This window comes from Homo sapiens, chromosome 10, assembly GCF_000001405.40.
Source record: "Homo sapiens chromosome 10, GRCh38.p14 Primary Assembly".
In the NCBI taxonomy this organism is placed as follows: domain Eukaryota; kingdom Metazoa; phylum Chordata; class Mammalia; order Primates; family Hominidae; genus Homo; species Homo sapiens.
In genome coordinates, this window is record NC_000010.11 from 127,012,656 (window position 1) to 127,039,581 (window position 26,926).

The 26,926-nt window shown below is 47.8% G+C and overlaps 1 protein-coding gene and 1 long non-coding RNA gene across 25 annotated transcripts in view; one reads left to right on the forward strand and one right to left on the reverse strand.

Annotated features, from left to right (window-relative positions):
* The window catches only part of DOCK1 (dedicator of cytokinesis 1), a 547,089-nt gene that overhangs the window by 107,228 nt on the left and 412,935 nt on the right, over positions 1-26,926 (forward strand). For 22 of the 24 annotated variants that reach the window (XR_007061946.1, NM_001377544.1, NM_001290223.2 and 19 more), the window contains 7 exons: positions 6,055-6,180; positions 10,545-10,669; positions 12,030-12,128; positions 13,697-13,769; positions 18,995-19,098; positions 19,482-19,665; positions 25,064-25,161. Coding sequence is in view for 23 of the 24 variants with exons in the window: in NM_001377544.1 (NP_001364473.1) it covers positions 6,055-6,180; positions 10,545-10,669; positions 12,030-12,128; positions 13,697-13,769; positions 18,995-19,098; positions 19,482-19,665; positions 25,064-25,161 (809 nt within the window). In the remaining variant the exon portion in view is untranslated. The remainder of the gene's footprint in view (positions 1-6,054; positions 6,181-10,544; positions 10,670-12,029; positions 12,129-13,696; positions 13,770-18,994; positions 19,099-19,481; positions 19,666-25,063; positions 25,162-26,926) is intronic. The other 2 variants (NM_001377547.1, NM_001377550.1) reach the window with 2 other exon arrangements.
* Positions 843-13,838, reverse strand: DOCK1-AS1 (DOCK1 antisense RNA 1). The gene is made up of 5 exons (NR_188215.1): positions 13,617-13,838; positions 5,933-6,305; positions 3,268-3,442; positions 2,355-2,508; positions 843-1,062 (listed from the first exon to the last, which is right to left on the reverse strand). It is a non-coding gene; the product is annotated as a DOCK1 antisense RNA 1 (long non-coding RNA).

Genomic DNA, 26,926 nt, shown 5'->3' on the forward strand with positions numbered 1-26,926 from the left:
CTCTGCCCGTGTTGTGTGCTAATCTTTGCCTGTTCTGGGTCTTCCCTGCTGGTCTCCCTAAGAAGGTGATTTCATTTGTGCAGACTTGCTCCCCTGAGTTCTGTCATTTAAGTGATTTCTCCGCCCCTACACTCCGCCTCACACTCACTGTTTTTAATCCTGCACTGACACGTTTCTGAGCAGCTGACCTGCTGCTGGCAGAAGGAATGAATCAGTCACCTCGGGCTGGTGACAGTTGGCACTTGGCTGGCCAGGAGGGCTGCCAGGAAACAACTGTGACTGAGGCCCCGCCTCCAGCCCAAGGGGAAGTCACCTTCAGAACTTGACCGTCTCACTCCCTGATCCATGCAGACTGCCCGTAAACGCGGTAGAGCTTAGGTGAACAGACCTGCTTCATCGTCCAGCTACCTTATGTCACTAGACTTTTAAAAAACAATTATCTTGATTCATTTCCACTGTTCTAAAGGAGAATGTGAATTGAGCCTGAAGAATGTTTTAGAGAATGAGCCTTCCTAGGGATCTGCAGGGACCTCCAGCTTTCTTCTGGTGTGAACTACCCCCCTTTCTGGCAAACAGTAGCAGGACAAAAACCCCAACCCAGAACGTTAATGAGATGTGGCCTCTGCAGACAGAGCGATTTTCAGCTGACCCAGGACCCATCTTCTCCTAAATTAACAGCCCTCCCAATTTACACTTTAATTGAAAACCACGGGGAGGTCCAATTAGGGCTGTTTAGATTGGAGTCACTCTCAGGCTGGGAGTGCCAGTGCAAAGGTTGCCAGCCGATCCTTCAGTGCTTCGAGCTGGGACTGCCCTCGGATCTCCAGTTTCTTTTGCAGTCATCGGAGTTTTGATAAACTTTTATTAGAGTCATTCAGGGAAAGTGGAGTTTGGTGTCAGGCCAGCAGGAAATCACTGGGAAAGAGGACCAGAAGCCTGCCTCTGCCAGGCTCACTGGTGTGTGGCCAGGATCTTTGAAGCCGGCGAACCTTGGGCTCATGTCCGGGGGTCCAGTTCCTTGAACTTCTGGGAGGAGTGGGCATTTTCAAGTCACAGTGAAAACTGAGGGAGAAGAACAGTGATAGTTTTGTCAAGGGGATCACAGGTGACTTCCTGAATCAGAATGGCCTTAGGCAACATGACTAGTGCTTGTTTTCCTTGAACCTGAATTTTCTCCAGGGCACAATGGTGGGTGGAATTCAGGTCAGAGGTGAGTGATGTGGCCAGTGAGGGCAGCCACACAGATCGGCCGCCGGGACTGCAGGGCGCTGCCCACCGGCGCTCATTTTATCACCAGCAGCCCAGGCTTAACCTGATCCTTGCTTGTCTGTCAAGTGACTGTTAGCGGCCCCAGGAGTGGAAGGGACATGGAGGAGATACTCATCTTCAGAGAGAACCACTGGGTTTTTTCACACCTCTGTCCACATGCGCCTCCTGTCTCTTGAGCTCACCACTTGGCCTTGGCCAGTTTTTGGTTTATGCCAACATGTTTCCTCTTCACAAGAGACAAAAATCCTGAATATTTAATCCAAATTATTCTGATCCCTGAACCCAGAGGTGTGGGACATTTTATGTGGACAGTGAATTCATGAAGACTCCAGACATCTGGTTCTGTTGTTTGAGATAGAATGTATGCTAATCCTCTTTGTTTTTAGTTATTCTGCTTAAGCAAATGTCAACCCCAAATGCACTTTTTTCTCCTGTGAGAAAAGCATTTAAAACACAGCATAATCAGGAACATTTAATTTCCATTTTTAAAGCGTGTGGTAATAAATTTAATGTGTCACTAGTGCATTAGTTTATGTATTAAGATATTTGCGCAGGCCGGCGTTTCTGAGAAAGGTGTTTGAAACACAGGATTTCTAATATTAAGTGTTAAGTGTTCCATCCTCATGTCTCAACCTTTGACCTCTGTAGATAATGACCTCACCACATCCTGCAATCCTTCAAAGAGCATCTTTCTGTAAGATATATTTTGTGGACATTCATTCTCCAGGGAGGCTTTTGGACTCAAACTCCTGAGATTTGAGAAACTCTTAGCTGCATCCTGGTGTCCCAGGGAAGACCAGCTCCCTGTGAGCCACGGTGCCAGTTCCTCAGGCTCTTCTGTCAGGGTCTGGGCTTTGGTTTGCTCTCCCGGAGGCCAGGGCTGGGGGTTAGGGTGAGGAAGTGCCTGGCCCTTTGCCCATCTGTCTGCTTACCTATTCTGCAGGTCTGGAGCTGCTGTTAGCTCAGGGTGCTTTTGTGTGAATTAGAAAAAGGGGCCTCATCAACCAGGTGAGTAGGGAGATGCAGCCAGCGCCAGGACCTGTGGCTCTGTGAGCGAGTAGAGGCAGGGTTTAGCTCCCACTTGCCTTTTGTGGTCACTTGTCTAGTGAAATGCACATTCTGGGCAGTGGTACATGTGCTCCTGTCTGGGTGCCATCCCCGATACCTCTTTGGGGACCGCTTTCTATTGGTGGTTCTTCCTTCTTCAAACTCTCCCTCCCATGATCTGGAATTTCATATCTTAAAAAGAAAGGAAAAAGAAAAAAAATATTTAAAAAAAAAAAGGAAAGAAAAGAAACACCAAGAAGCAGTCCTACCCTGAGTAATACATCTGTCTCTGTCTATGTGGCCTCTCCCTCTGGTCTTCGTCTCCCATTCATCTTCACCCTTCTGCCTCCCAGCATCGGCCCTCTCCCTGAGCGCCCCCGCCCCCTCTGCCCCCGTCTCCCACCAGGAGCCCTGTGGCTGCATGGGCACCATCTGTCCCAGTTTTCCATTTCCCCTGTTATCTCTGAGGTCTCTGTCCCCTTGTGAGCTCTCAAAGTGGGCCTTTCTCCTGCCTCTTCGGGGCTCTTCTTTCCTTCCCCACTCTGGGTGCTTGCCCTTCAGGCAGCTCTGCCTGGAGCGAGCGGGTCTTCCTATTTCAAGGAACGGTGCCCCCGGGACTTGCTAGTGGTTGTGCCTGCAAGGGGCACCGTCTCTGTAAGCTGCGCCTCCTCCTACCCCAACTCCCCGTGGTTCTGCTGACTTGACCTTCACGCTGGTCCCTCTCCCACCCTCCATAGTGGCATTCACGTCCTGCCAGCCAGCTAGGATCATGCGGTGGCCTCCCTGCTGCGATTCCATCCCCACTGTGCTCTGTTCTCCTGCCTACCCATTCCCTGTAGCCACAGGGTGTCAGGTCAGAGCCTGACTCTTGTTCCTGAGCCCCACTCTGGGTGCCCCCCATCCTTCAGATAGACCACAGTCCCTGCCACCCCAGCCTCCGCACTGTCTTACCACAGCGTCTGGGGGCTCCACCTCCCCTGGGTGAGGACAGGCCTGCAGTTCCCTCACTTCCTGCAGGTCTCAGCCCCGAAGTCCCTTCCTCTGTGACCCTTGAGACTGTGGTCCCAGGATGCCTTGCAGTGTGCTCAGGACTTCTCCCGTGAGAACTTCGCAGTTGCATATTTCTCTAAGAGACCATGGAGTTAGTGTTTGACCGTTGGCAATGGAAGCTAAACACCTGTCAGGGGAGGTCGTGAGGGTCTGCCCTATGTCTCCAGTAGGTGCAGTGCCCAGTATTTGCCTGGCACATAGTAGGTGCTCAGTAGCTACTTTTGAATAAATTAGAGGGACTCACTAGATAGCAAGAGGAAAGGGGGTTTCACCAGCTGGCAAAGAACAAAACATCATCAGTGACTTTTGACTTCTCAGCTCCAGCTAATGGAAATCTGAGCAAAGGAGAATGCCATTTCCAGGATAGCGGATATAGGAATGGGCAGCCAGAGGACAGGGCGTGAGGTGCGGGATTGAATCAAGCAGGGCTGCTCCCGTCAGGGACAGCCGGAGGTGCCGGCACCGCTGTCGGTTACCTCCCAGTGCTGCTCAGAAGGCAGGCTGCTGGAGAACAGGCCTGTGACTGTCTCAGTTCCTTCCACGCAGGGCAGGGCGCTGAGCTGAGGGTGATGGAGGGCAGGTTCTGCTCTGGAGGCATCTGAAGAGGGGACAGCTGCACACACACACACATACACACACACACATGCACACATACACACACACAGATACAAATACCACAAACACAGACATACGCACATACACACACACACACCACACACACACACACTAACACAGATATAAACACCACAAACACAGACACACGCGCACACACACAGATACAGACACCACAAACACACACACAGATACACTACACATACACACACACAGATACCATAAACACACACACAGATACACCACAAACACACAGATGCAGACACCACAAACACAGATACACCACACACCACACACACACACACACCACAGACACACAGAGATATACCACAAATACATACACACGCACACACACACAGATACAGACACCACAAATAAACACAGATATGCAGATACAGATACCACACACACACACACACACACACAGATGCAGACACCATAAACACAGATACACCACAAACACATACACACCAACACATGATACACCATAAAAACAGACATACACACACAGATACAGACACCACAAACACACACACACACACAGATACACCACACATACACACGCACACACAGATGCAGACACCATTAAACACAGACACACACAGATACAGACAGCCCCTTCCACTCAGATATACATATAGACACACACAGACACACACATGGGTATAGACACAGACACGCACACAGACATATATATATACACTCACACAGATACAGATATACACATAAGCACAGATACAGACACAGACATACATACAGATACAGACACAGACATACATACAGATACAGAAAGACACAGATACAGAAACACAGACAGACACAGATTTAGCCACACGCATACAGATACACAGACACAGATACACAGAGACACACACAGACACACACGTGTACAGACACACATGGACACACAGACACACACACACACATGCACAGATACAGATACACAGACACACAGTGACTCACACAGACATACGCACAGCCACAGGCATGCGCGCATACCCATGCTAGTAGCAGAAATGAGGACAGAGGCTTTGATGTTCTGAGGGGCAGATGAGGCCCTACCAAGCTGAGTGGGGGGAAGCAAGCAGGCAGCCCCCCCTGAGGCCTCAGGGACAGAGCACCCCCATGTGCTGGCTTATAGTGCCAGCCCCTTCCCATGGGGGGAAAAGATGCCGTCGTCGTAGAAGACAGCTCAGGCCGAGCCCCTGCCTGCCCCGCCTTTGACTTGTTGGAATGTGTGGCTTGTTTCCTTGTACTGTCACCTCCTATTTGGTTGCTACTCAGTATTTATACAAACCACAGTTCTTTGTCAGCCTTGCAGGGAGGAAGATCCCGCGCACATCCCGCACACACGCCCTTACACATAGACCCCACCGGGTTTACTGCCCTCTCCCCAGGATACCCCTGGCATCTAGGTTTAGAGGCTTTGAAAGTCTTCATTTCTCTCTTGGAGAAAAGAGCCGAGAGCGGCTGGGGCTTTGTTTTCTTTTGCGGTGGCACTGTGGTACAGAGGGCCTGGGCTCCACAGGCTGCACCTGTCCTGGCTGCGGAGGGCTGTCCTGCTGGTGGCCCTGCAGACTGGTGCTCCACTGCTCGCCCAGGTTGTGTGATGCTGCTTAGCTACTTGAAACTTTGATGGGTTCTCGAAGCTACGAATTCACCTCCAGAATCCTCCCCTGCCTTTGTCTTTCCTGGGAGACTAGAAAATGACAGACTTCTCAGCCACCTCCTAGAAAAAGGTGGCCTGCTGATTTATCTTAAATGTCTACCCACTCAAAAGAGACATTGGTCCTTGGCATTCCTCAGCAGCACAGTGGGTGCACAGCAGCTGCTGATGTGCGTTCAGCTGTCTGTGAGTCACCCTAGGGCAGGGCTGGCATCCCAGCTCGTTGGATGCATGGAGTCCCCACGACAGGCACCTTTTGCCTTGCCCCTCTCTTTCTCATATACCCACCTTTTCTCTCAAGATGTTGAATTGTGAATTAAAAGTCTCTCATTCATTGAAATTGGTTTCGTGAAAACTTCTAAAAATGCATAGGATAAAATGCGACTTAAGAGCATCCATTGTTTTTCCAGGTTTGTGGGTAACATTGAAATTACTTCCTGGAGATATCCATCAGATCCGAAAAGAGTTTCCGCATTTAGTGGACAGGACCACAGCTGTGGCTCGAAAAACAGGGTTTCCGGAGATAATCATGCCTGGTAAGAACTGGCTTGTTCAGGGCTTCTCAGCATGGCATGGGGGTAGCCGGCCACGGAGGATGACGTGTGGGCAGCATCATGTATGAGCTCTGGCAAGGAAAGGGCTCAGCTCCTGGTAGGTGACCCTGTAAGCCCCAGCATGGTTATGGATCATGGGGCTGTGACCGGAGTGGTAGAATATGCTCCCTGGCCCCCTGTACCCCTGGATGGATCAGCTCTCCCCAGCTGCAAGGATTGTGTGAGGGGGGCGTGGGCACCCAGCAAATGTCTGGGTAGACATCAGGTCAAAAGAAGAAAGAGGTCAGAAAGGGAGCTGCCCATTGTGAAGCCCACTTAGGGCAAATGGCAGGGTTGGATGGTCGCTGAATGGAAATGCCTGTGCCTGCGCCCGCTCAGCTAGTGTACGTTATACTGGCATTCCTCCATGAATTCTAAGTCATGAATTCTAAACTGACCGATAACAGGATTTGCGTGTTAACATTAATCTCATATTTACATAATACTTTTCATTTTCCAAATAACGTTCCTAATAATCTGATTTGATCATCAAGAGATCTTTGGAAGCATGTTAATTTGTATCCTTTATATCCGTGTGATACTTTTTGGTTTGCAAGTAATGCTTACGTGGCTTGGCAGGGCGTAGTGGCTCATGCCTGTAATCCTAGCACTTTGGGAGTTCGAGGCGGGGGGATCACTTGAACTCGGGTTCGAGACCACCCTGGGGAACATGGCGAAACCCCGTCTTGACAAAAAAATAAAAAAACTAGCTGGGCGTGGTGGCATATGCCTGTCATTCTAGTTACTTTGGGGGGCTGAGGTGGAGGAATCACTTGAACCTGGGAGGCAGAGGTTGCTGTGAGCACAGATCACGCCACTGCACTCTAGCCTGGGCGACAGATTGAGACCCTGTCTCAAAACAAAACTAACTTGAACCACGTGAGGCTCTTGGAAGCCCACAAATTGGTGTTGAGTGAATTCCTATCCAGATTAAACTGTAGCCTAAAGTCGCTCAGCTAATGAGCCGTGGAAACGGGGACAAACTCCCCCATATTCAACGCGGCCTCCTTTTATAGGCCTGTGCTGTATAGCCAGGAGAGTGGTGGCTATTCAGGGTGCATGCTGTAGGAGTTACTGCTTTGCTTACTTTAGTGCAACTTCAAGACACATTCTTTCTACTCCTTTTGTCTTTCAGGGCTGTTGTGGGTCATTGAATAGTCGGTCTGGTAAATCCATATGAAAGACATCTAAATTGGTTAGGCTAAATAATAGCTAGGCTTACCTGTACAGAAAGAAAAGCATGACGTTTAGTCAATTCTGAAGCTATTGCTTGTGTGTGTCCAGTCTATATGCAGGAAATTAATTTAGGTTTATTAATGGGAGTGGACTAATTTGTATACTTATTATTTGTATTTGCATTTGAGATACAGATTTATAAATTAGGATGAAGCAATTGGCAATATGCATTTATCTTGGCATCCTTAGGATGTCCTCATGTTCAAAGGGAAACTCAGAAGCTTCCAGTTCATGCCAATAGTGTTTCCCTTATGATGGATAGACTTAAAAACTAAGTCTAGGCCCGGCGTGGTGGTGAGTGCCAGGTAGTAGCTGCTAGTAGCAGGTACTAGGGAGGCTGAGGTGGGAGGATCCCTGGAGCACAGGAGGTCAAAGCCGTAGTGAGCCATGATCACAACCACTGCACTCCAGCTTGAGTGACAGAGAGAGAACCTGTCTCAAAAAAAAAAAAAACTAAGTCTAAACTTGTAGATCATCTCATGATAGATTCATAGGGAAATGATACAGTTGACCATTGTTCTGGCAGGTTCCATGTGCTGAGTCCTCGGGTATATATCTCACAGGAAGTGATTCTAGCTTGGGTGGGTCATCTGCGTTCTCTGTTGGCCGAGTAATCACTGGCCGCGCTGTGGGCACCAGAGAGAGAGAGAGTATGGGCGGTTATCAGTCTGTCTCGCTGTCTTTAGCCTGCAGAACCTGTGTATCACCCGGTTTTGTCACTGTCTGCAGGGATGCGCGTCTTCTTTGGACAGCGCAGAGCCTGTCCCATCACCCAGCGGCCTGCTCTGCTACTTTCTCATAGCTCGTTGGACTCCTGGAATCCTTATGAAGGATCCAGGCAGGCGATGCCAAGTTTTCCTTTGAGCTGGGAAGGTAGCAGGAGTCCACTATGTCTGCTTCTAGTTCCTTCTTCCCCAGAATGTTCTGTAACCTGGGGAGGCATTTGATGAGGGTCTATGGTGAATGCCCATTTGTGGGGTTTGCTTACTGTAAATGAGGTCTTACTTCTGTGCTGGCCCTGGAGTAACGCACTTGAGGTGTACTTGGGAGTGAGGCTGTGGGAGTTTCGCCCTGTCACCCGGGCTGGAGTGCAGTAGCACGATCTCAGCTCACCGCAACGTCTGCCTCCCAGTTTCAAGCAGTTCTCCTGCCTGAGCCTCCGGAGTAGCTGAGATTACAGGCACGCACTACCATGCCTGGCTAATCTTTTTATTTTAATAGAGACGGGGGTTCACTGTGTTGCCCAGGCTGGTCTCAAACTCCCGAGCTCAGGCAATTCACCCACCTGAGCCTCGCAAAGCGCTGGGATTACAGGCGTGAGCCACTGCACCCGGCCTTGAAGTTCTTTTTTGATGATGGTGTTTGTGCCTTGATAGAATTTTTAGGCTGAGAGATCATGGAGTTTATGCCTTCCTTATCAGTGAGGCTGTTTAGTGGTGCTGGCCTTGGAGGCTAAGTGACTTGTCCAAGGTCACACAGCAAATGAGCAACAAGTCTTGGTTGGGTGGCCTTGCACCTGCCCCTCGTCCTGTGCTCCACGGTTCTTCTCGTGGTCAGTATCAGTGGGCGGCAGCCGCGCCTCCTTCCACACAGCTACTGTGGCTGTGGTGGCAACCCACTGGGATTATGATGATAATGACTTTTAAATGAAAGCTTAATTTAATAGTTGGATACATTAAAAGCCAAAATAGAGCAGTTTAAAAGAAAAAAAAAAGCCAAAACAAGAAAGCAAGGAGCAAAGAGAGTTATTTTCCTTAAGGGATCCTTGGTCTTCAGCCAGAATGGGCATTTGCTGCTCTTGACGGAACCGCTCTTTGGCTCCTTGGGAGAGCGGGTGGTCAGGGCGTGGGAGGTGGCCAGGCAGGCAGCAGAGGAGCAGTGGCTGGGAACGAGGCTTCCTCTAAATCATGTTACTAATGAAGCTTGTGAAGTTCTCCCAGTTGGGCCATTACCAGGGGCTTCCTATGTTCTCAGTAGGAAGAAGAGTCTTGAGCTCATTTCTTGCGTTTTTTTTACCCCCTACAATTAAAAGCCCATCTCACTTTAAAACAGACAGGTCTGTTTTGTTCTTCTCTCTGTGGTCCCCATTCGGGATCCTGATAGCTGCCTGCCAGAAGGGAAGAGCCATGCAGAAAGTTTCTCCCTAGACCCGTTTTTCCTCCCTGATTCTAGGCTGGTGATCCTCATTCTTTTTTTCTTTATTTTTATTTTATTTTATTATTTTAAGTTTTAGGGTACATGTGCACAACGTGCAGGTTTGTTACATATGTATGCATGTGCCATGTTGGCGTGCTGCACCCATTAGCTCGCTTTTGAGACGGAGTTTTGCTCTGTTGCTGAGGCTGGAGTGCAGTGGCAGGATCTCGGTTTGCGGCAACTTCTGCCTCCCGAGTAGCTGGGATTACAGGCCTGCACCACCACGCCCAGTAGCTAATTTTTGTATTTTTAGTAGAGATGAGGGTTCACCATGTTGGCCAGGCTGGTCTTGAACTCCTGACCTCAAGTGATCTACCCACCTCGGCATCCCAAAGTGATGGGATCACAGGGGTGAGCCACCTCGCCTGGCCGGTCCTCATTCTTAATCAACTTTTAGTTCAACTCTTGGAGTCATGCTTTTAAGAAGAATGCATAGGAGGCAACCTTGCCAGTTACCTGGGAGTGCCAGTGGATACTGCGATAGTCCTTGGCTACTGAGGACTCAGACAGCCGTAGCCAGCCGTCTAACAAGGGACAATGGTGTGGGCTGCCATGGGTCATGGATGCCATCAATAGTATTGGAGCCCCTCTGGTTGTCGGCTACCCTGAGAGGGGTAGAGTGTCCTCTGCCCAGATGATAACCAAGCAGATCATTGGAAACTTTGAGATTTTTCCTCTTTCTAGAAAACTTTATCATGATGAAAATTGCTCTTGTCATGTATTTAAATGGTGAGACTGTTTTGTAGAAAATATTTCATAATCATCTAATATGTATTTGTAATAATCTATGAGGATAGGTAGACAGTCTTGCAAAATTCACAATTACGCTATTAATAATGGATTGTTTTTTAAATGTATGATTTCTCCCCCCTCAGGTGATGTTCGAAATGATATCTATGTAACATTAGTTCAAGGAGATTTTGATAAAGGAAGCAAAACAACAGCGAAGAACGTGGAGGTCACGGTGTCTGTGTACGATGAGGATGGGAAACGATTAGAGGTATTTATTGTGGCGAGGGCTCATCTGTAGTGTTTCAGTTTTACTTGCCAAGTGCTCACCTTGGCTCTGCTACAGCATAGATGTCGTCAGGGTGGGGCTTTGGAGTCCCGTTTCTTGGGATTGGCGTTGGTTCTTGTTTCCTTTTCTCCAGCTTGCCATGCAGGGCCTGGGGTCCTCTGGTCCTGGCAGCTGGCCTATCTCAGGAGGTCCCTGTGGTCTTTTTTTTTTTTTTTTTTGAGATGGAGTCTAGCTCTGTTGCCCAGGCTGGAGTGCTGCAGGTGTGTGCCACCGTGCCTGGCTAATTTTTATATTTTTTAGTAGAGATGGGGTTTCACCATGTTGACCTCAAATAATCCGCCCGCCTTGGCCTACCAAGGTGCTGGGATTACAGGCGTGAGCCACAGTGCCCGAGCAGGTCCCTGTGGTCTTGACCACCTTTGCCCAACCTTATCGTGGAGTCTCATTTGCTGTCACAAGCCCAAGGCCTAAAGGTCTAGCAGTCACACTAGAAGTACAGATACCATTGTTACGATTTGAGAGATGAAGAAAAATGAAGGCCCTAAGAAATCAATTAAATTGCTCAGCGTTAGAGAGCTCTAGGGGTGGAACTGAGCACCTGCTCATGACAGCCAGAGCTCTGACCTCGTGCTCTACCTACCGGCGATCATGAAGATCTGCTTCCGTGGCCACAGCAGCCTGCAGGGTCCACCTGGGAGGTACTTAGAAGCTATTGCCTCCTCTGATGACCAGAGGTCAAATCAGAGCTGCTGTCCCTGTGAGGTGCCTCTTTGCACCAGTGCTGGAGGACTGGGCTTTTCTGGGCCCATGGGGTTGTGCCTAAGGCTCAGTGTCGCCAAGAGAAGCATTATGTCTTTCTCTCTGGGTGAACTCTGTCCAGCATCACTGCCTGCCTCGTCTCCCTGGAAACATAGGTGCTGCCCTTGCCACTGGTCTTTCTGGTTGGAGTGAAGCAAACAGTGTTCATGGCTGGAGGAAGGGGAGGGGAGGGTTCCCACTTTTTAGTCTACAGTCCCTCACCCTAGACCTATGGGACGGATCAGGCAACTTCCTGCAGATCCTAATGTTAAAGTTATTAGGGTTGAGGGTCTGGGGAACTGGAGGTCAGTGTCATCCCCATGTGTCATAACCATCAAGATCTTCAATGTGTGAGAACAGGGGTTGGAGCTGGCCGCTGGCTTCAGGTGGATCTGTGCTTCCCTTGCTGGGAACGTGTTCATTTGTGGTGGGGGTGTGTTGGTGTTCTTGGAGCGTACCTGTCCCCCCACATATATAGTGGGAGATGTATATGGTGTCAAGCTCTATGAGGTCTTACGTGAGCTCTTTATGTCTTCTTTTAAAGCATGTGATTTTCCCGGGTGCTGGTGATGAAGCGATTTCAGAGTACAAATCTGTGATTTACTACCAAGTAAAGCAGCCACGCTGGTTTGAGACTGTTAAGGTATTATTTACATGGTCATTTTATCACATGGCGCTGATTATGAAATGCTCATTTGTAACCCAAGGAAACATCCTAACATCCTCCTCAGCCCGGGAGCTGCTCCAGGCAGGCAGAGTGTCTCCCAACAAAGTCATTCAAGGTTGCTAAGGAACCACACTGGTGTTTCTTAGAATACATTTACTCTCATCTCCTTTTGGACGTAAAAATAGGACGTTCATGGAGACAAATGACAGAGTCTTTTTAAGATAGCTATTGTCTTTCTCTTCCCAGTACTGTTTTATGTGTGGCATGCTGTCTTTACACCAAACAAAAAAACCGAGCTGCCAGCCTGTGGAGGTCATTGCTGGGGAGTGGGATCCTGTTCTGTAGCTCTGATATGGTGCCTTTTCATAATGCAGCGTGCTCACATCTCCACGATGGAGTAAACACCGTCTCACCGCCAAGAGCTTGAATATTTGAAAACCAGGCCAGGGGTTGGCTCTGGAATACAGATGTTTGATGTGAGAATTAGGGACAATTTTTGCTTAGAGGCAGCATGTATTAGGTCTTTTTTCTTTGAGTGTAATGTGACAACAGGAAAGCTTTTTTGGCGCAGCTGTGGGCAGGTCACCACAGCTGTGGAAGGAATATAGACCCTTCCAGGTTGGGGCTAAGAAGAAAAACGGCAACTTTTCTTTTTTTGAGACGGAGTCTCATTCTGTCACCCAGACTGGAGTGCAGTGGTGCAATCTCGGCTCACTGCAACCTCCACTTCCTGGGTTCAAGCGATTCTCTTGCCTCAGCTTCCTGAGTAGCTGGGATTACAGGCATGTACCATGATGCCTGGCTAATGTTTTTGGTATTTTTAGTAGAGTTGGGGTTTTATCATGTTGGCCAGGCTGGTCTCGAACTCCTGACCTCAAGTGATCCACCCTCCTCGGCCTCCCAGACTGCTGGGATTACAGGCATGAGCCACCATGCCCGGCCCAAAAACAGCAACGTTTAAAAGTAGAATCTTGGCCGGATGTGGTGGCTCACACTTGTAATCCCAGCACTTTGGGAGGCTGAGGTGGGCAGATCATCTGAGGTCAGGAGTTTGAGGCCAGCCTAACATGGAAAAACCTTCTCTACTAAATACACAAAATTAGCTGGGTGTGGTGGCGCATGCCTGTAATCCCAGCTACTCGAGAGGCTGAGGCAGGAGAATCGCTTGAACGCAGGAGGCGGAGGTTGTGGTGAGCCAAGATCGAGCCATTGCACCACTCTAGCCTGGGCAACAAGAGCGAAACTCTGTATCAAAAAAAAAAAAAGAAAGAAAAAAGAATCTTAACAGTAATGGTCAGAGCATTCAGAAAAAAAAATTCAGCTGTGTCACGGAGTCAGTTGGCTTGGCAGCTGTTACAATATGATACAAAATTTTGCAGAGGCATTTTGTCTTTGGAAAAATCATATAGGGGACTAGGTGTACAGTATTTTCACCACTGCAGTTAGAAATGTTTACAGTTGTACCTGATAGCTCCAGTTGAATAAAGCTGTTACGCTGGATGATATTGATAACAGTGCTTAAACTTCTTTTTCAATTCTTGAAGGTGGCCATTCCCATCGAGGACGTTAACCGCAGTCACCTTCGGTTTACCTTCCGCCACAGGTCATCACAGGACTGTGAGTAGTCAAGCACTTTCTTCCCCCAAGTATTTTTAAGGGAGAACTGGGGGAAAGCGCGAGAGGCCACTCTCAGTTGTTCTGGAACTCGCTATCATAACACAATAAGGCTCATTTCCCACCGGAACCTATTCCTTGGAAACATTCTTCTCTCTTTTCCTTGAGCAGATCTCAGGAGGAGATCTTAATTTCCTTCTCCAGTTCCTCCTACCCAGTGTTGCTGGTCCCCTTCTTTCTTTTGCTTTCCAGTCTTCCGTGTTGACTTGCCATCCATCCATGCCATCCATCAGAAAAGTTACTGAGCTGTAACAAATACCTCTCAAACATGGGCTCTTAAGGTGCCTGTCTTAGAATTGGAAATCTTGAACCCTTTTTGTCTTCCTTGGTGGCCCTTGCTGTCTGGAGCTCAGGGATGGCTTTTCTCATAGACATTTTTGTGAATACTGACCATGGTGCCAAGACTTTAGGAGGAAAGAACTGCTATTTGAATCACTCTCCTTCAAAAAGAATTTATTATTGATGACTGAAATTTGTTCCATCACATTTTGTTAAATTAATTGTCAACTAAAGCTGTAGCCCTGTGCTAGACAGTAAGATATCACAGAAGGAAAACATGATTCCCGTCTTTCAGGGTGTGTGTCTCTTTGGCATTGGGAACTGAGACATATTCATATTTGGGACAATAAATGACAAAGAGAGTTGGCTACAGGCTTGTGTGCCGCAGGCAGTTAAAGGAAAAGAGTGGTGTGGAGGGCAGACCGCCCTTTGTCACTGATGACCCCGTGGGGGTCACACCGTGCAGTGGGCAGTTTCAGGTTCTGTGTGCTCTGGATGGAGCTTAAGCATGAGCCTCTTCTGTATCTTCATTTGAGGATAAGAATACCTTTCTGGCTGGTGCCGTGGCTCACACCTGTAATCCCAGAACTTTGGGAAGCCAAGGTGGAAGATTGCTTGAGCCCCGGAGTTTGAGACCAGCTTGGGCAACACAGTGAGACCCGATCTTTACTAAAACAGTTATCCTGGTGTGATGGTATACCTGTAGTCTCAGCTGCTCAGGAGGCTGAGGCAGGAGGATTGCTTGAACCCGGGAGGCAGAGGTTGCAGTGAGCTGTGATTGCACCACTGCACTTCAGCCTGGGGAACAGAGTGAGACCCTGTCTCAAAAACAAAAAGCAAAACAAAAAAAACATTAAACCTTCCTCCTAGGGTATTCTTGAAGGTCAGGCAAGGTGGAGGCTGGCCACCTTCTGGCACGCTGCCTGGTATGGATAGGGGCTCCATTGTAGTTGCTGCTGCTGGAATAATGTGTTCATTCACCTGACTATTTCTGGGGCCTGGCCTGCCCTGGGCCCTCCATGTGGGGTGGGTGTGCCTGGACAGGGGGGCTGCAGGAGAGCAGCCTGGAGAGCAAATGCACGAGCACGGTCATGATGTTATGGTGTGCAGATCATCGAGAAGCTTGGGCCTGCTGTTGTTCAGGGGAGTTGGAGAGGCCTGGTGTGTGGTCTGCAGAGCTGGGGTGCCGGCCCATGACTGTCAATGGCAGATGTGTGTGTGGTGGGGCCCGGCCTGGGATGTGGCTGACTGGAGGGGTTTCAAGCAGCATGGAGTGCCTGGTGGTGGGTGGTGCATGGCGGGGGAGTGCGGGGGGTGGGTGGTGGCTGGCAGCTGCCGAAAGCATCATTGCATTCCTGTCCTGTCCCAACAGTGCATGCAGGCCAGGGGTTCAGTTACAAGGGCATCAGGTTTATGTCTAACGGGAGAAGCAGGGGCAGGAAGGCCGCCAGCTTGGAAGGCAGTTCCCTGCCATCTCATCCTTGCCCCAGGATCAGATCCAGGCTACCAGACCCCAGACCAAGTCGGATCTGCTAATGGTGCACAACATCCTTGGTGGCCGAAGCTGTAGGATAATAACAACTATCAGCAGATGTTGGCCATCGTTCACTATGCTCTTATCATGTGCCCGACACAAGAAGTTTATTGTGTTATTTGGATTCGTCCTCGCAAGATTCCCATGTGGTATCAGTATTATTACTTCCCACATTACAGATGAGGAAACTGGGGCTTGGAAACCCCAGGTCAGGGGCTGAAAGGCACCCAGGTAGTCAGTGGAAGAGCTTTGGTTCTAAGCCAGGTCCTTGTGCCCGAGCCTTATGCTCCAATGCCTTGGGGGAGTGGCGAGGCCACTTCTTTCCTTTGGCTTTTATTGAGTTCCTGCTGTATACACAACAAGCTGCTGGGGTTTCTCCTCTTGCAGAGCTTAGGTTTGAGTTGAGGTTTGAGATTAGTTTGCAAGAACCAGCTAGGGCGTGGCAGCCTGTGAGTATCACATGAATTAGGCAGAGGTATGATGTGAGCGGAGGGTGCTGGTGGAATGGGGGTGGCTGTGGGCACAGGTGTGTCCTCGACCAAGGCATGGAGGGCATGGTGGGGGCCAGCCTAGTGGGCTGCAGTGTGCCCCAGACCCTCTAGGGCTCCACGCATATATCACCTTGAGGCCCACGGAGGAAGCAGGTTAAGAACGGGGTTCTGGAATCCACAGAGGACTCGTCTCAAAATTACGCTCCCGTCTTTTAACAAGCTCATTCTCTCTAATTAATAAATTACACTAGGGCAGAGCGATAGCTCCTGTAGCATTTTAATTTTCAAAATCCTTGTTTTTCTTGTCAGTTTTAAGTACTCATTATAGACAAGATGCTATCACCCAACATACCAGGACACATCTGCATAATAAATGAAGTCTCCGTGGCCACAGCTTGTGGGATTTTGGAAACATGTTGAGCATCGCAGGTGCGATGCCGATGAAAGCCTGGATGTCGGCCGCTGACCATGGCCTTCGGGGCCTCCCCAGCCAGCCCTGCATGCAGATACCTGGGGCAGAAACAGGTAGAAAGAGCTGAGGCCACATTGGTCCCCACTTGCTACCCTGAAGAGGAGGCTAGCAAAGGGAACAAGTGATGGGATTTCTCACCTGGGATCTGACCTTGGGATTGGAAAGTTTGGTGTCGATGGGTTAACATAATACCTTTCCAGCAACCTGTCGGCAACTCCAGCTGCACCAGACCGTGTGGTCCACGGAGCCAGGCAGACTTGCAGCTCTCAGGCCCAGCTGGCCAGGAGCTGAGTTTTCCTTGATTGTAGTGGGCTTGTTGGGTAGGGCGGCCTAGAGAATGGGCAGCTCTACCCACACTCCAGAACACACAACCCCTACTGCTGTTCCTAAGGTTCTGTAAACTTGTCATATAAACCATCCATCTCATGATGGCTGCTAGTGAGCATGCAGTAAAAAGCGGTCCATTCCTCGGATGTGAAGATGCAGAATGTTAATAAAAGGTGCACTTACTGTACTACTTACTGGTAGGGTCAGTAGAAGCCTTCTGCTGACCATTATTGTCACACATCCTTCTGAACCCTGGCTGTTTTCCTGGAGGCATGTCTTTTTTGTTGCCGTTGTTTCCAAGTCCACCCAAACTTAGGAGGAACTGTTCTGTTCTTTGCCATTTGAACATTGAAATATTTCATGTGCTCTGGTGCCCTTTTACAGAGTTATTTTTTTAGAATCCTAGGGTACATATATTTTACTTCTGTTTCTTCCTGTGTTTTTTGGCTGGTTGATTATTCATGGAACCATTTAATTTGCCAGGATGTATTGAGCACAACCAGGAAGGCAAAGGTGATAAGCCATGTTGTCTTGGGTAGTGGGATCCGACGGTAAATATTTTGAGCCGTGGACTCAAGGCGGGTGGATGTGTCATTCTCCCTCTCTGATCTCTGTCCTTTCATCTATAAAGAGAAAGCTCGGAATCTGTAATTGTAGAGATAGTTTCCAGCTCTGGTCCTCTGTTTCTGTGCTCTGCTGGGATTGCAACTTGAGGAATTTCTGGCAGATCCATTTCTTCAGTCCATGTTCCTCATCTGTCCTGGCTTATCAGTCCTTCCCCGCCTTTGGCCCTCGCTGTCTGTCACCAGCCACACTGGACTTCTGTCCCCAGATGTGCCACACTGGTCCTCGTGAGGGCCTCTGCGCTAGGTCCCCCTCTTCCTGCAGCATTGACATCTTGGCTTATGTGCTGTCCAGCTTCTCAGAGAGATGTCTTCTGACTAATAAATTGGATTGTCCCCGTTGTCACTGTGACCCCTTAAGAAACCACAATGTTTTGTTTTCTATATCATCTGAAAGCTCATTTGTTTGTTGACTGTCTCCCAAAGTGGCACAAATATGGATTGAGTACCTGTTGGGCACCAGGCTCTATTTCATGTACTAGGAAATGGCAGTAAAACAAAAGGTCACTTACATTCCAGGGTCTAGTGGATGAAACCAACAATAAATAGCAACAAGATCAACAAGATTCTCTATCAATCTATCTCTATCTCTGTCTCTGTCTCTGTCTCTGTCTCTATCTCTATCTCTGTCTCTCTGTCACACACACACATAAACACAACATCTGGTAGTGATAAGAATTATCACGAAAATAAATCAGGTGAGAGGAAAGAGGGTGATTGGGTGACTAATGGGCTATTTTAGACAAGATATGGTCACTTTGGAGGAGGTGACATTTTGGCAGAAACTTGAATGAAGCGAGTGAGCCCCACATGCAGATACCTGGGGGATGAACTTTCTCGCCAAAGGCAGCACAATTTCACATTGGGGTCGTTAGTCCATTGGTAATTCACATGATGGATATTGCAAGGCAGGAATTGATTTTAGTTTTCTGTATTGACCCGCAGTTTCCTTGGTGGAATGGTCTGCCCCTTCCCAGCCTCTGTCGTTTACTGTGGCCTCTTGTTTCCAGGCCCTGTTGATTTCCGCTGGTCTGGGCGTCTTAGGTTGAAAGCACACAGTCTTTCTCATTGTCATTTTACAGTTACTCTCGCTTTCTAGTGTTGCGGGCTTTCCTCTGCCTTCTTCAAGACCATGCTGCTCTTCTTGGCCCTTTATCCTGGAATCCGTTTTCACGTTCCAGGAAAAATCTCTTCTATGAGATTTTGATTAGAATGGCTTTGAATTTATAGATTAATTTGAGAACAACTGATCCCTTTATGCTAGGAGTCTTCTTACTTGTAAACGTGGTCCATTTTTCCATATATTTATTAGATTAGCTTTAATACCTGTTTGTATAATTTTGTAATTGTTTTCATAAAGGTAGCCTTTGTAGCTTCTTATAATGTTATTTTGTCATGATAATTGAAAGCAATCATCAATTTTTTTGTTTTTTGTTTTACAGCTAAGGATAAATCTGAGAAAATATTTGCACTAGCATTTGTCAAGCTGATGAGATACGATGGTACCACCCTGCGAGACGGAGAGCACGATCTTATCGTCTATAAGGTATCTGGTTGCATTGGTGCAATATTGCTGCTATAGACAGTTTCAGTCTTTTCTGGGCTCCCTGACCTGGACCAACCTTTCCCATCATTGTGAGGAAGCTGCTATCTAGCTACATTTAATTATGCAAATGAACATTTCCAATGACCAGCCCTTTTGTTGTTCCTAACGGGAAAAGATGATATACAATATAACAATAGGTGCCATCTAAAAATGCCGTGAACATGAATTATGCTGCAGTAATAAGGGAAATTATTAAAATGTGTATTTAATATGATACAAAGCAATTACGATGGTTACAAGGATTAGGGATAACAAAGGGTGGCAAAAATGGTGTGTTGCTGTTTGTGAATTGCCTTTGACATACGGCATGACTAAATCCACAGGCCGAAGCAAAGAAGCTGGAAGATGCTGCCACGTACTTGAGTCTGCCCTCCACGAAGGCAGAGTTGGAAGAAAAGGGCCACTCGGCCACCGGCAAGAGCATGCAGAGCCTTGGGAGCTGCACCATTAGCAAGGACTCCTTCCAGATCTCCACGCTCGTGTGCTCCACCAAACTGACTCAGAACGGTGCGTTCGAGAGGAGAAACACACTCACCCCAGGAGCTCTGCCCCAGTCCTGTCTTTTCCATGCTCCTTCCTATGTGGAGGTGTGCTCCGTAGGTGCATGAACGTCACCCATAAGGCATTCATTGCATCGGGCTGTGATGATTTATCAATGCATAGAAGGTGGCATTTGTTCATTTGTTGTAATTTAAAATTCACACTTCTACTCTGGTCTAAGGGTTATTCTTTTATTTTTATTTTTATTTTTTAAGACAAGGTCTCAGTCTCGCTCTGTTGCCCAGGCTGGAGTGCAGTGGTGTGATCTCAACTCACTCCAGCCTTGTCCTCCTAGGCTCAGGCGATCCTCCCACCTCAGCTTCCCATGTAGCTGGGACCACAGGTGTGCAGCATCACGCTTGGCTAATTTTATTTTTATTTTTTATAGAGATGAGGTCTCACTTTATTGCCCAGGCTATTCCCAAACTCCTGGGTTCAGGCAAACCTCCCGCCTCGGTCTCCCAGAGTGCTGGGATTACAGGCACGAGCCACTGTGCCCAGCTGTATTACTCTTAAAGGGAGATAAAGCAATGGATTTACTTCTTAAAATGATTTTTGGCCAAAGGAAGGTAGCGTGACATAAAGGAAAGTGCACAAGATTTGGAGTCAGACTAAAAACCTGGAATCGGACCATAGCCCTGTGTTAACCCTGGGGATGCCCTTCAACAAGTCTTCTGCACATTTCTGGGTCTTATCTTCCTTGTCTGTCGATACGGGAATAGTGCCTGCCTCAAAGGGCTTAGTGAGGGTTACATGAACAGTGGGCTGGGAGCTCACCTCCCTCTTTATGTCTTCCCCATTCTCAGCTACTCTCTGAGATAATTACTAGTTATCTTTATTTTTAAAAGCTGGTTTGGATGTTACTTTCTAGCCCTACTCGTGCTGTGGGATAAGGCACCCCCTGCTGACTCCCACACCCCAAAGCTCAGCCCTAATGTGGCAGATCACTCATCCATCAGCTGGTGCCGTGCCCTTGTGTGGGGTTTGGCCGATGCTTTGAGTGCCTGCACCACCACTGCTTGCAGCCTCTCCAGTGACATTGCTGTCCAGCCAGGGGTACTTCTTATTCAGAGCACACTGATGTTGTTGCTGTCACTCCGTCTGGAAGAGGCAGAAATCCTACATTTAAAAATTGAATCTTCCAAATGCAGCCGTATCACAGCTGTGCAGAGTGACTTTATGCTCTCTTGAAGCAGAGCTTGAAAATCCAATTTTTTCCTCTTAACTGCCCGATACAGATTTTGATTATTACTGTCTGTTGCTATCATGAGTTGTGTCTCTGGGGGATTGTCCGTAAATCATGGCAGTAGTTTTGGATTTGCCCAAGGGACAGTCATCGTTTGGACTTTAATAGGATAAACACAGGACAAAAGTAAAGCCATTGTCTGGAAGTCAGGACATTGTAGTGGAGCGTGCACTGAGTGTGCTGCATGTTTGGGCATGCGAGCCCTGGGTCAAATGCTTTTGGATCTTTCCGTTTCTGCACTTTGCACTCTGTTGTTCTGGGCTACACTTTCCCACTGCTGGTCTGCTGAGTAAACTGCTTGGTGTGGGAGCAGTAAGTCTCTTAAGTGCCTTAAGCCTACTGGGGCACTTTTATATTCCATTTGCATGCATTTCTCGAACCATTTATGAAGGGTCCTAGCTTGTGGTTGTGTAGTGGTCTCCATGAGCATATGAAAAGCCTTACCTGGGTGTGGGATCTATGCAGCCGTGCAGTGGGGAAGGGAGAGAATGCACAGGGAGCCTGCTAGTGGCATGCCCGAGGCATGTGCAGTGTATTTGTCCCTGTTCATGCTGCTGATAAAGACATACCTGAGACTGGGCAATTTACAAAAGAGAGAGGTTTAATGTACAGTTCTGTGTGACTGGGGATGCCTCACAATTGTGGTGGAAGGCAAGGAGGAGCAAGTCACATCTTACGTGGATGGCCGCAGGCAGAGAGAGAGAGAAAGAGAGAGAGAGAGCTTGTGCAGGGGAACTTCTCTTTTTAAAACCATCAGATCTCATGAGTCTTATCACTCTCATGAGAACAGCACAGGAAAGACCTGCCCCCATGATTCAATTACCTCCCACCAGGTCCCTCCCACAACACGTGGGAATTCAAGATAAGATCTGGGTGTGGACATAGCCAAACCATATCATGTGGTCAGCAGTGCGGGGCTCAACTTGGGACTTGGTTATGGAAAGGATGCTCCCCTGTGACATGTTAGTCTCTGGATGTGGCCTTGATAGCTCCACTCGCCTGACAGATGACAGCATCCAGAGCCTAATTTAACCCAAAGGTGACATCTCCAGGTGGGCCACACTTTAGCATTTCAGTAGGTGCCATGTGTTGCAGTGCTCATGGTGCAGGAAGCCATCATCTCATAATTGGGTCATGTTCCGAAAGCATGCTCGGAAGTCATTACTTAACTTGCTCATCTTTCCCCATTCAAAGCAATGCTCTGAGCTGCGGTTAGGTGATGAGGCCCATCCACAGAATCCTTCTTAACCCTTATGACCCTGGAGAAAGGGGACTGTGGACCAGGACATCCCCCCGGGGGGTGGGGTCAGTGGCAATCCCTCCTTTCACCCTCAAGCTCCTTAAGTCTCACCAGCTGCAGAGTAATCCCCTCCCCAGACTGAGGGAGAGGGCACCCTGCTCTCAGCAGCAGCTGTTGCCAGGCAACAAGGAAATTCCGATGTGATGCCACTCACCAGGACTGATGGGAAGTCTGCCTTTCATTTCTCACCAGCCACGGTTCCCCTTCTTGGGATTGTGGCATGTCAGGTGTGTACAAGATGGAGCTGCCCCAAATGGCGTCTAAGCATCAACTCCCACATTCTCATTTGAGGGAATCATTTTTCTGAAACCATGATTTGTTCCTGCGAAGTTCCATTACTTAGGGAAACGCAGTGGCTGAATTATTCATTGAGGTTGGTATTAAACTTCTCTGTCCTCAGCATTATGCTAGATGCTGTGGGGGATATGAAAGAAGTACAAGATGTGATTCCTCTTCTCAATTAACTGACTATATAATTAGAAAGGAGTCATGAATATGGGCTGTGAGTCCCGGTAATAAGGGCCTGGGGTGGGACTCATCTGCCTTGGGCAGCCTCATGGGGGCTGGACAAGCCCTGTTTTCTTCCAGCACTCCCTTTGCTCCAAGGTGTTTTACTACTCATTAGCCCAATTGGACTTTGTCTCAAACTTACAATACAGCGTGCCACCAACTTTGAATGAAGGGGATCCAGATTATTACTGTCTATTAAGGAAATACTGGTAATTCTTGTGAGATGGAAATCTCCCTTAACCCTAGGACCAAGAGTGTGTCTGGGCAGGATGGAGCCTTTTCCATTACTTCACTTTCACTTAGAAATGAAGACATGTTGCCCAGGTGCAGTGGCTCACATCTGTAATCCCAGCACTTTGGGAGGCTGAGGCGTGAGGTTCACATGAGCCCAGGAGGTTAAGACCAGCCTGGGCAACATGGCGAGTCCCTGTCTCTACTAAAAATTAGCTGTGCATGGTGGCGTGCACCTGTAGCCCCAGCAACTTGGGAGGCTGTGGTGGGAGGATTGCTTGAGCCTGGGAGTTAGAGGCTGCATTGAGCTGTGGTTGTGCTCCTGCACCCCAGCCTGTATGACAGAGTGAGACCCTGTCTCAAAAATAAATAAATAAATAAATAAATAAATAAATAAATAAATAAAAAAGAGTAGAGTGCTCAATTCGTCATCCTCTCCTGGGATGACTGCTGCCATTTGTGCTTTGGACTAGGCATTCTGCTAAGTGCTTTCTACACGTCATGTCAGTTAATTCTTACAACCACCTTGTGAATCAGGCAACACTGTACCCATGGTTCAGATGAGAACACTGAGGTGAAGTTACCTCCCCAGGCCAAGTGGTTGCTGCATGCTGGTGGTTAGGCCCACACTTGGGCGTCTTCCACGGGATCTTTGGGTGCTCCTTTTTTGTCTCCCTATTTTTAACTCTTCCCTTTGTCAGCTGTACTTGTTTTGGAGCTTATTGCCTGCATGCCTTTTGTACAATTTGATGCTGAAGTTATAATGGATGTCTGTATTTCCTGATTTTCTACCTATAGTCACAATTAGAGTTTGTTTTTTTTTTCTTCTTCAGTATTAACTAGAGTTTTGTTTTTTGATTCTTTCTTTTATGGAGACAGTTTCTGTAGCTGAAGTTGGTTCATGAGCATAACGGTAAATTAGATGTACTTTGTTAATGGTATTTTTTCGAGTAATGGGATGTTAATATAACTTCAGGTGAAACTTGGGTAGGCATATGTACTTTCCTAGAGAGCTTTTGGATCCTGACTTCTTACCTTAAAGAATATCTTGGGCCAGGCATGGTGGCTCACACTTGTAATCCCAGCACTTTGGGAGGCTGAGGCAGGTGGATCACCTGCGATCAGGAGTTCGAGATCAGCCTGGCCAACATGGTGAAATCCTGTCTCCACTAAAACTACAAAAAAAATTAGCTGGGTGTGGTGGCGGGCGCCTGTAATCTTAGCTACTTCGGAGGCTGAGGCAGGAAAATCTCTTGAACCCAGGAGGCGGAGGTTGCAGTGAGCTGAGATTGCGCCATTGCACTCCAGCCTGGGCAGCAAGAGCGAAACGCCATCTCAAGGAAAAAAAAAAAAAAAAGAAAAAGAATATCTTGATGCCTTAAACAAAAACATTTCTGGACACTGTCTTCTTCCACATTGACTCTTTAAAAACCAGTATATTCATTCCTTGCTTTTTCTATATAAAATGCAACAAACAAAAACACAACCATAACAACCACAAACTTCTGTGGAAGCCCAGACATGGTGAGGGCCGGAAGCTCACTCAGTGCAGGCGTGAACCTCAGTGCAGGCGTGGTCTCAGTTGTCCAGAGCTACTGTAGCTGTGGGGACTCTTAACCTTGCAGTCTCAGTACTTTAATTTGTGTTAGTTATTTTATTTATATTATCTATAAAAAAATAGCAGCTTGTTCTTGAGCAGGAGAAACAAACCATTTGGTATCCAGTGCCTGGGCAGCGCTTTCTGGGTGAGCAGGCCTCTTCAGGCCTTGTGGTGCTCTGAAACTGCCTTCCTGTAGAATGGAAAGACAAGTTCTTTTTTAGTTTCCCAAATGCACTTTTAAAGCTTCTACATGGAAATCATTTCATGGTAAATGTCGTTGGGAATAATGAATTCAAGTGTACTAGGTGTTAAGTATGTTGCTACAAAGGAATGGAATATTTAGCAGGTGAATCTTTTAAAATAGGGTTGATTTCTCTGTTCACAAAATTTTATAGAGAACCTCACATAATGCATGATTAACAGAGACAGAACAGAGTTTCTTGCTTGTGAAGATCTGATTGTCATTTTCTGTTTCCAGTGGACCTTCTGGGGCTCTTGAAATGGCGCTCCAACACCAGCCTGCTGCAGCAGAACTTGAGGCAGCTGATGAAAGTCGATGGTGGTGAAGTAGTGAAGGTAACATGGAGCCCAAAGGGACTTTTTGGGTCTTTTTTTTTTTTTTTTTTTAATGTATGTTAACAGAAGTAGGCAGTGACTTCAAAGGTAGTATAGGATTGTGGTTATACTCCCTTTAAAAAATAGTGACATAGGGATTGGGTGCGGTGGCTTACGCCTGTAATCTCAGCACTTTGGGAGGCCGAGGTGGGTGGATCACCTGAGGTCAGGAGTTCAAGACCACCCTGACCAACATGGAGAAACCCCGTCTCTACTAAAAATACAAAATTAGCCGGGTGTGGTGGCGCATGCCTGTAATCCCAGCTACTCGGGAGGCTGAGGCAGGAGAATTGCTTGAACCCAGGAGGCGGAGGTTGCAGTGAGTTGAGATCGCACCATTGCACTCCAGCCTGGGCAACAAGAGCAAAACTCCGTCTCAAAAAAACAAAACAAAAAAATAGTGACATACACCTCTAGGTGCACAGAGTGCTTCTTGGCTTCTGGTTTGGGGGGACTCTCTGGGTTAGCCGTGAAGGGGACTGGCTTTGCAATCAACCTCATCGTGGGTTCTGCGTCCTCTTCCCATAGGTCCTCACTACAGGACTCACAACAGTTCAGTGACCTCTTTAAGCCTCTCTTTCCCCTGCCATGAGAAGTGGGGTAACAGTAGTGCCTTCTGCAGGGTCGTTGTGGAGCCTCAGGTCTTTTTACTGTTGTCATGATCCTTGTTACTGCCATCAGCATTCGTACTAGACTCCCTGAGATCCCCTTTAAGTGACCAGGAGAGGTCTGTGGTGTGGTAGAAAGATCACGACACTGAGAGGCTTGCCTGGGCCGTCTTCTTCCCACGGGACGCTCTGCAGCAGTGTCGGGTATAATTATTCATTCAGACCCTTGTGGCCTCAGCATCTTTATCTGTGAGAGAGGGCAGTCAGATTACATGGCCGGAGGTCCTGGGAGCACTCAGCTTCTGGAATTCTTTACTCTGTAATTGTTTGTGGTTCTGATGTTTTCTGCAGTATTAGGCTCTTCTCTGCTCTCAGATACCCCACAATTTGCTGGGGCAACTTTTCCTTGTACGTGAGGAAGCGAATTTCCATTTTTAGTCGATTCTGTTTTTGGCTATGGGACGATAAGGGGGTCACTGGCATGTGGCGTTCTATAAGCATAGACTCTCCAGCAAGGTCTGTGTGTTGCCGCCTCAGTTCCTCACTCTCTAGGAGAGGTGATTGCAGAAAGAGACGACCTTATCTCTGTAAAAACTAATTACTTAAAATGGCCTTAATTAACCAGCAGTGTGCTTCACTTCAGTATCAATTAATTTGGTCGCACCAGTTTCCTGAATCGTATAACTCTTCAGACATATACTCACTAATCTTAAAATTTTAATCATCTTCTCAGTCCTGGTGTTCTCCCAATGGCTTGGACAATGTTAATTGCATTTTAAACTTCCCTGTGTTCTGTAAATTCCCTAATTCAGGTGGAAACTAGGTGAAATACATGAACGTAGTTGAGAAGAATCCAGTTAATGAAATTTTGTCCTCTTTCATTTTGAAGTCCCTGTATCATATTAGGAATGAGTTGTATTTCTGGCGACCAGTTACCACAGTTACCTGGAAGAATGTAGAATGATCTTGTCCCGTCATTCTCCCCCATTCCCCTCATCTCATAGATTCTCACATTTGATTATTCATCCCTAGACATGGCCTTTACACCTTTCCTTTCTTCCTGTGCGTGCTGGTACCACGCAAGCCTGGGTGACCTGTCCAGCCCTTACCTACCTTGC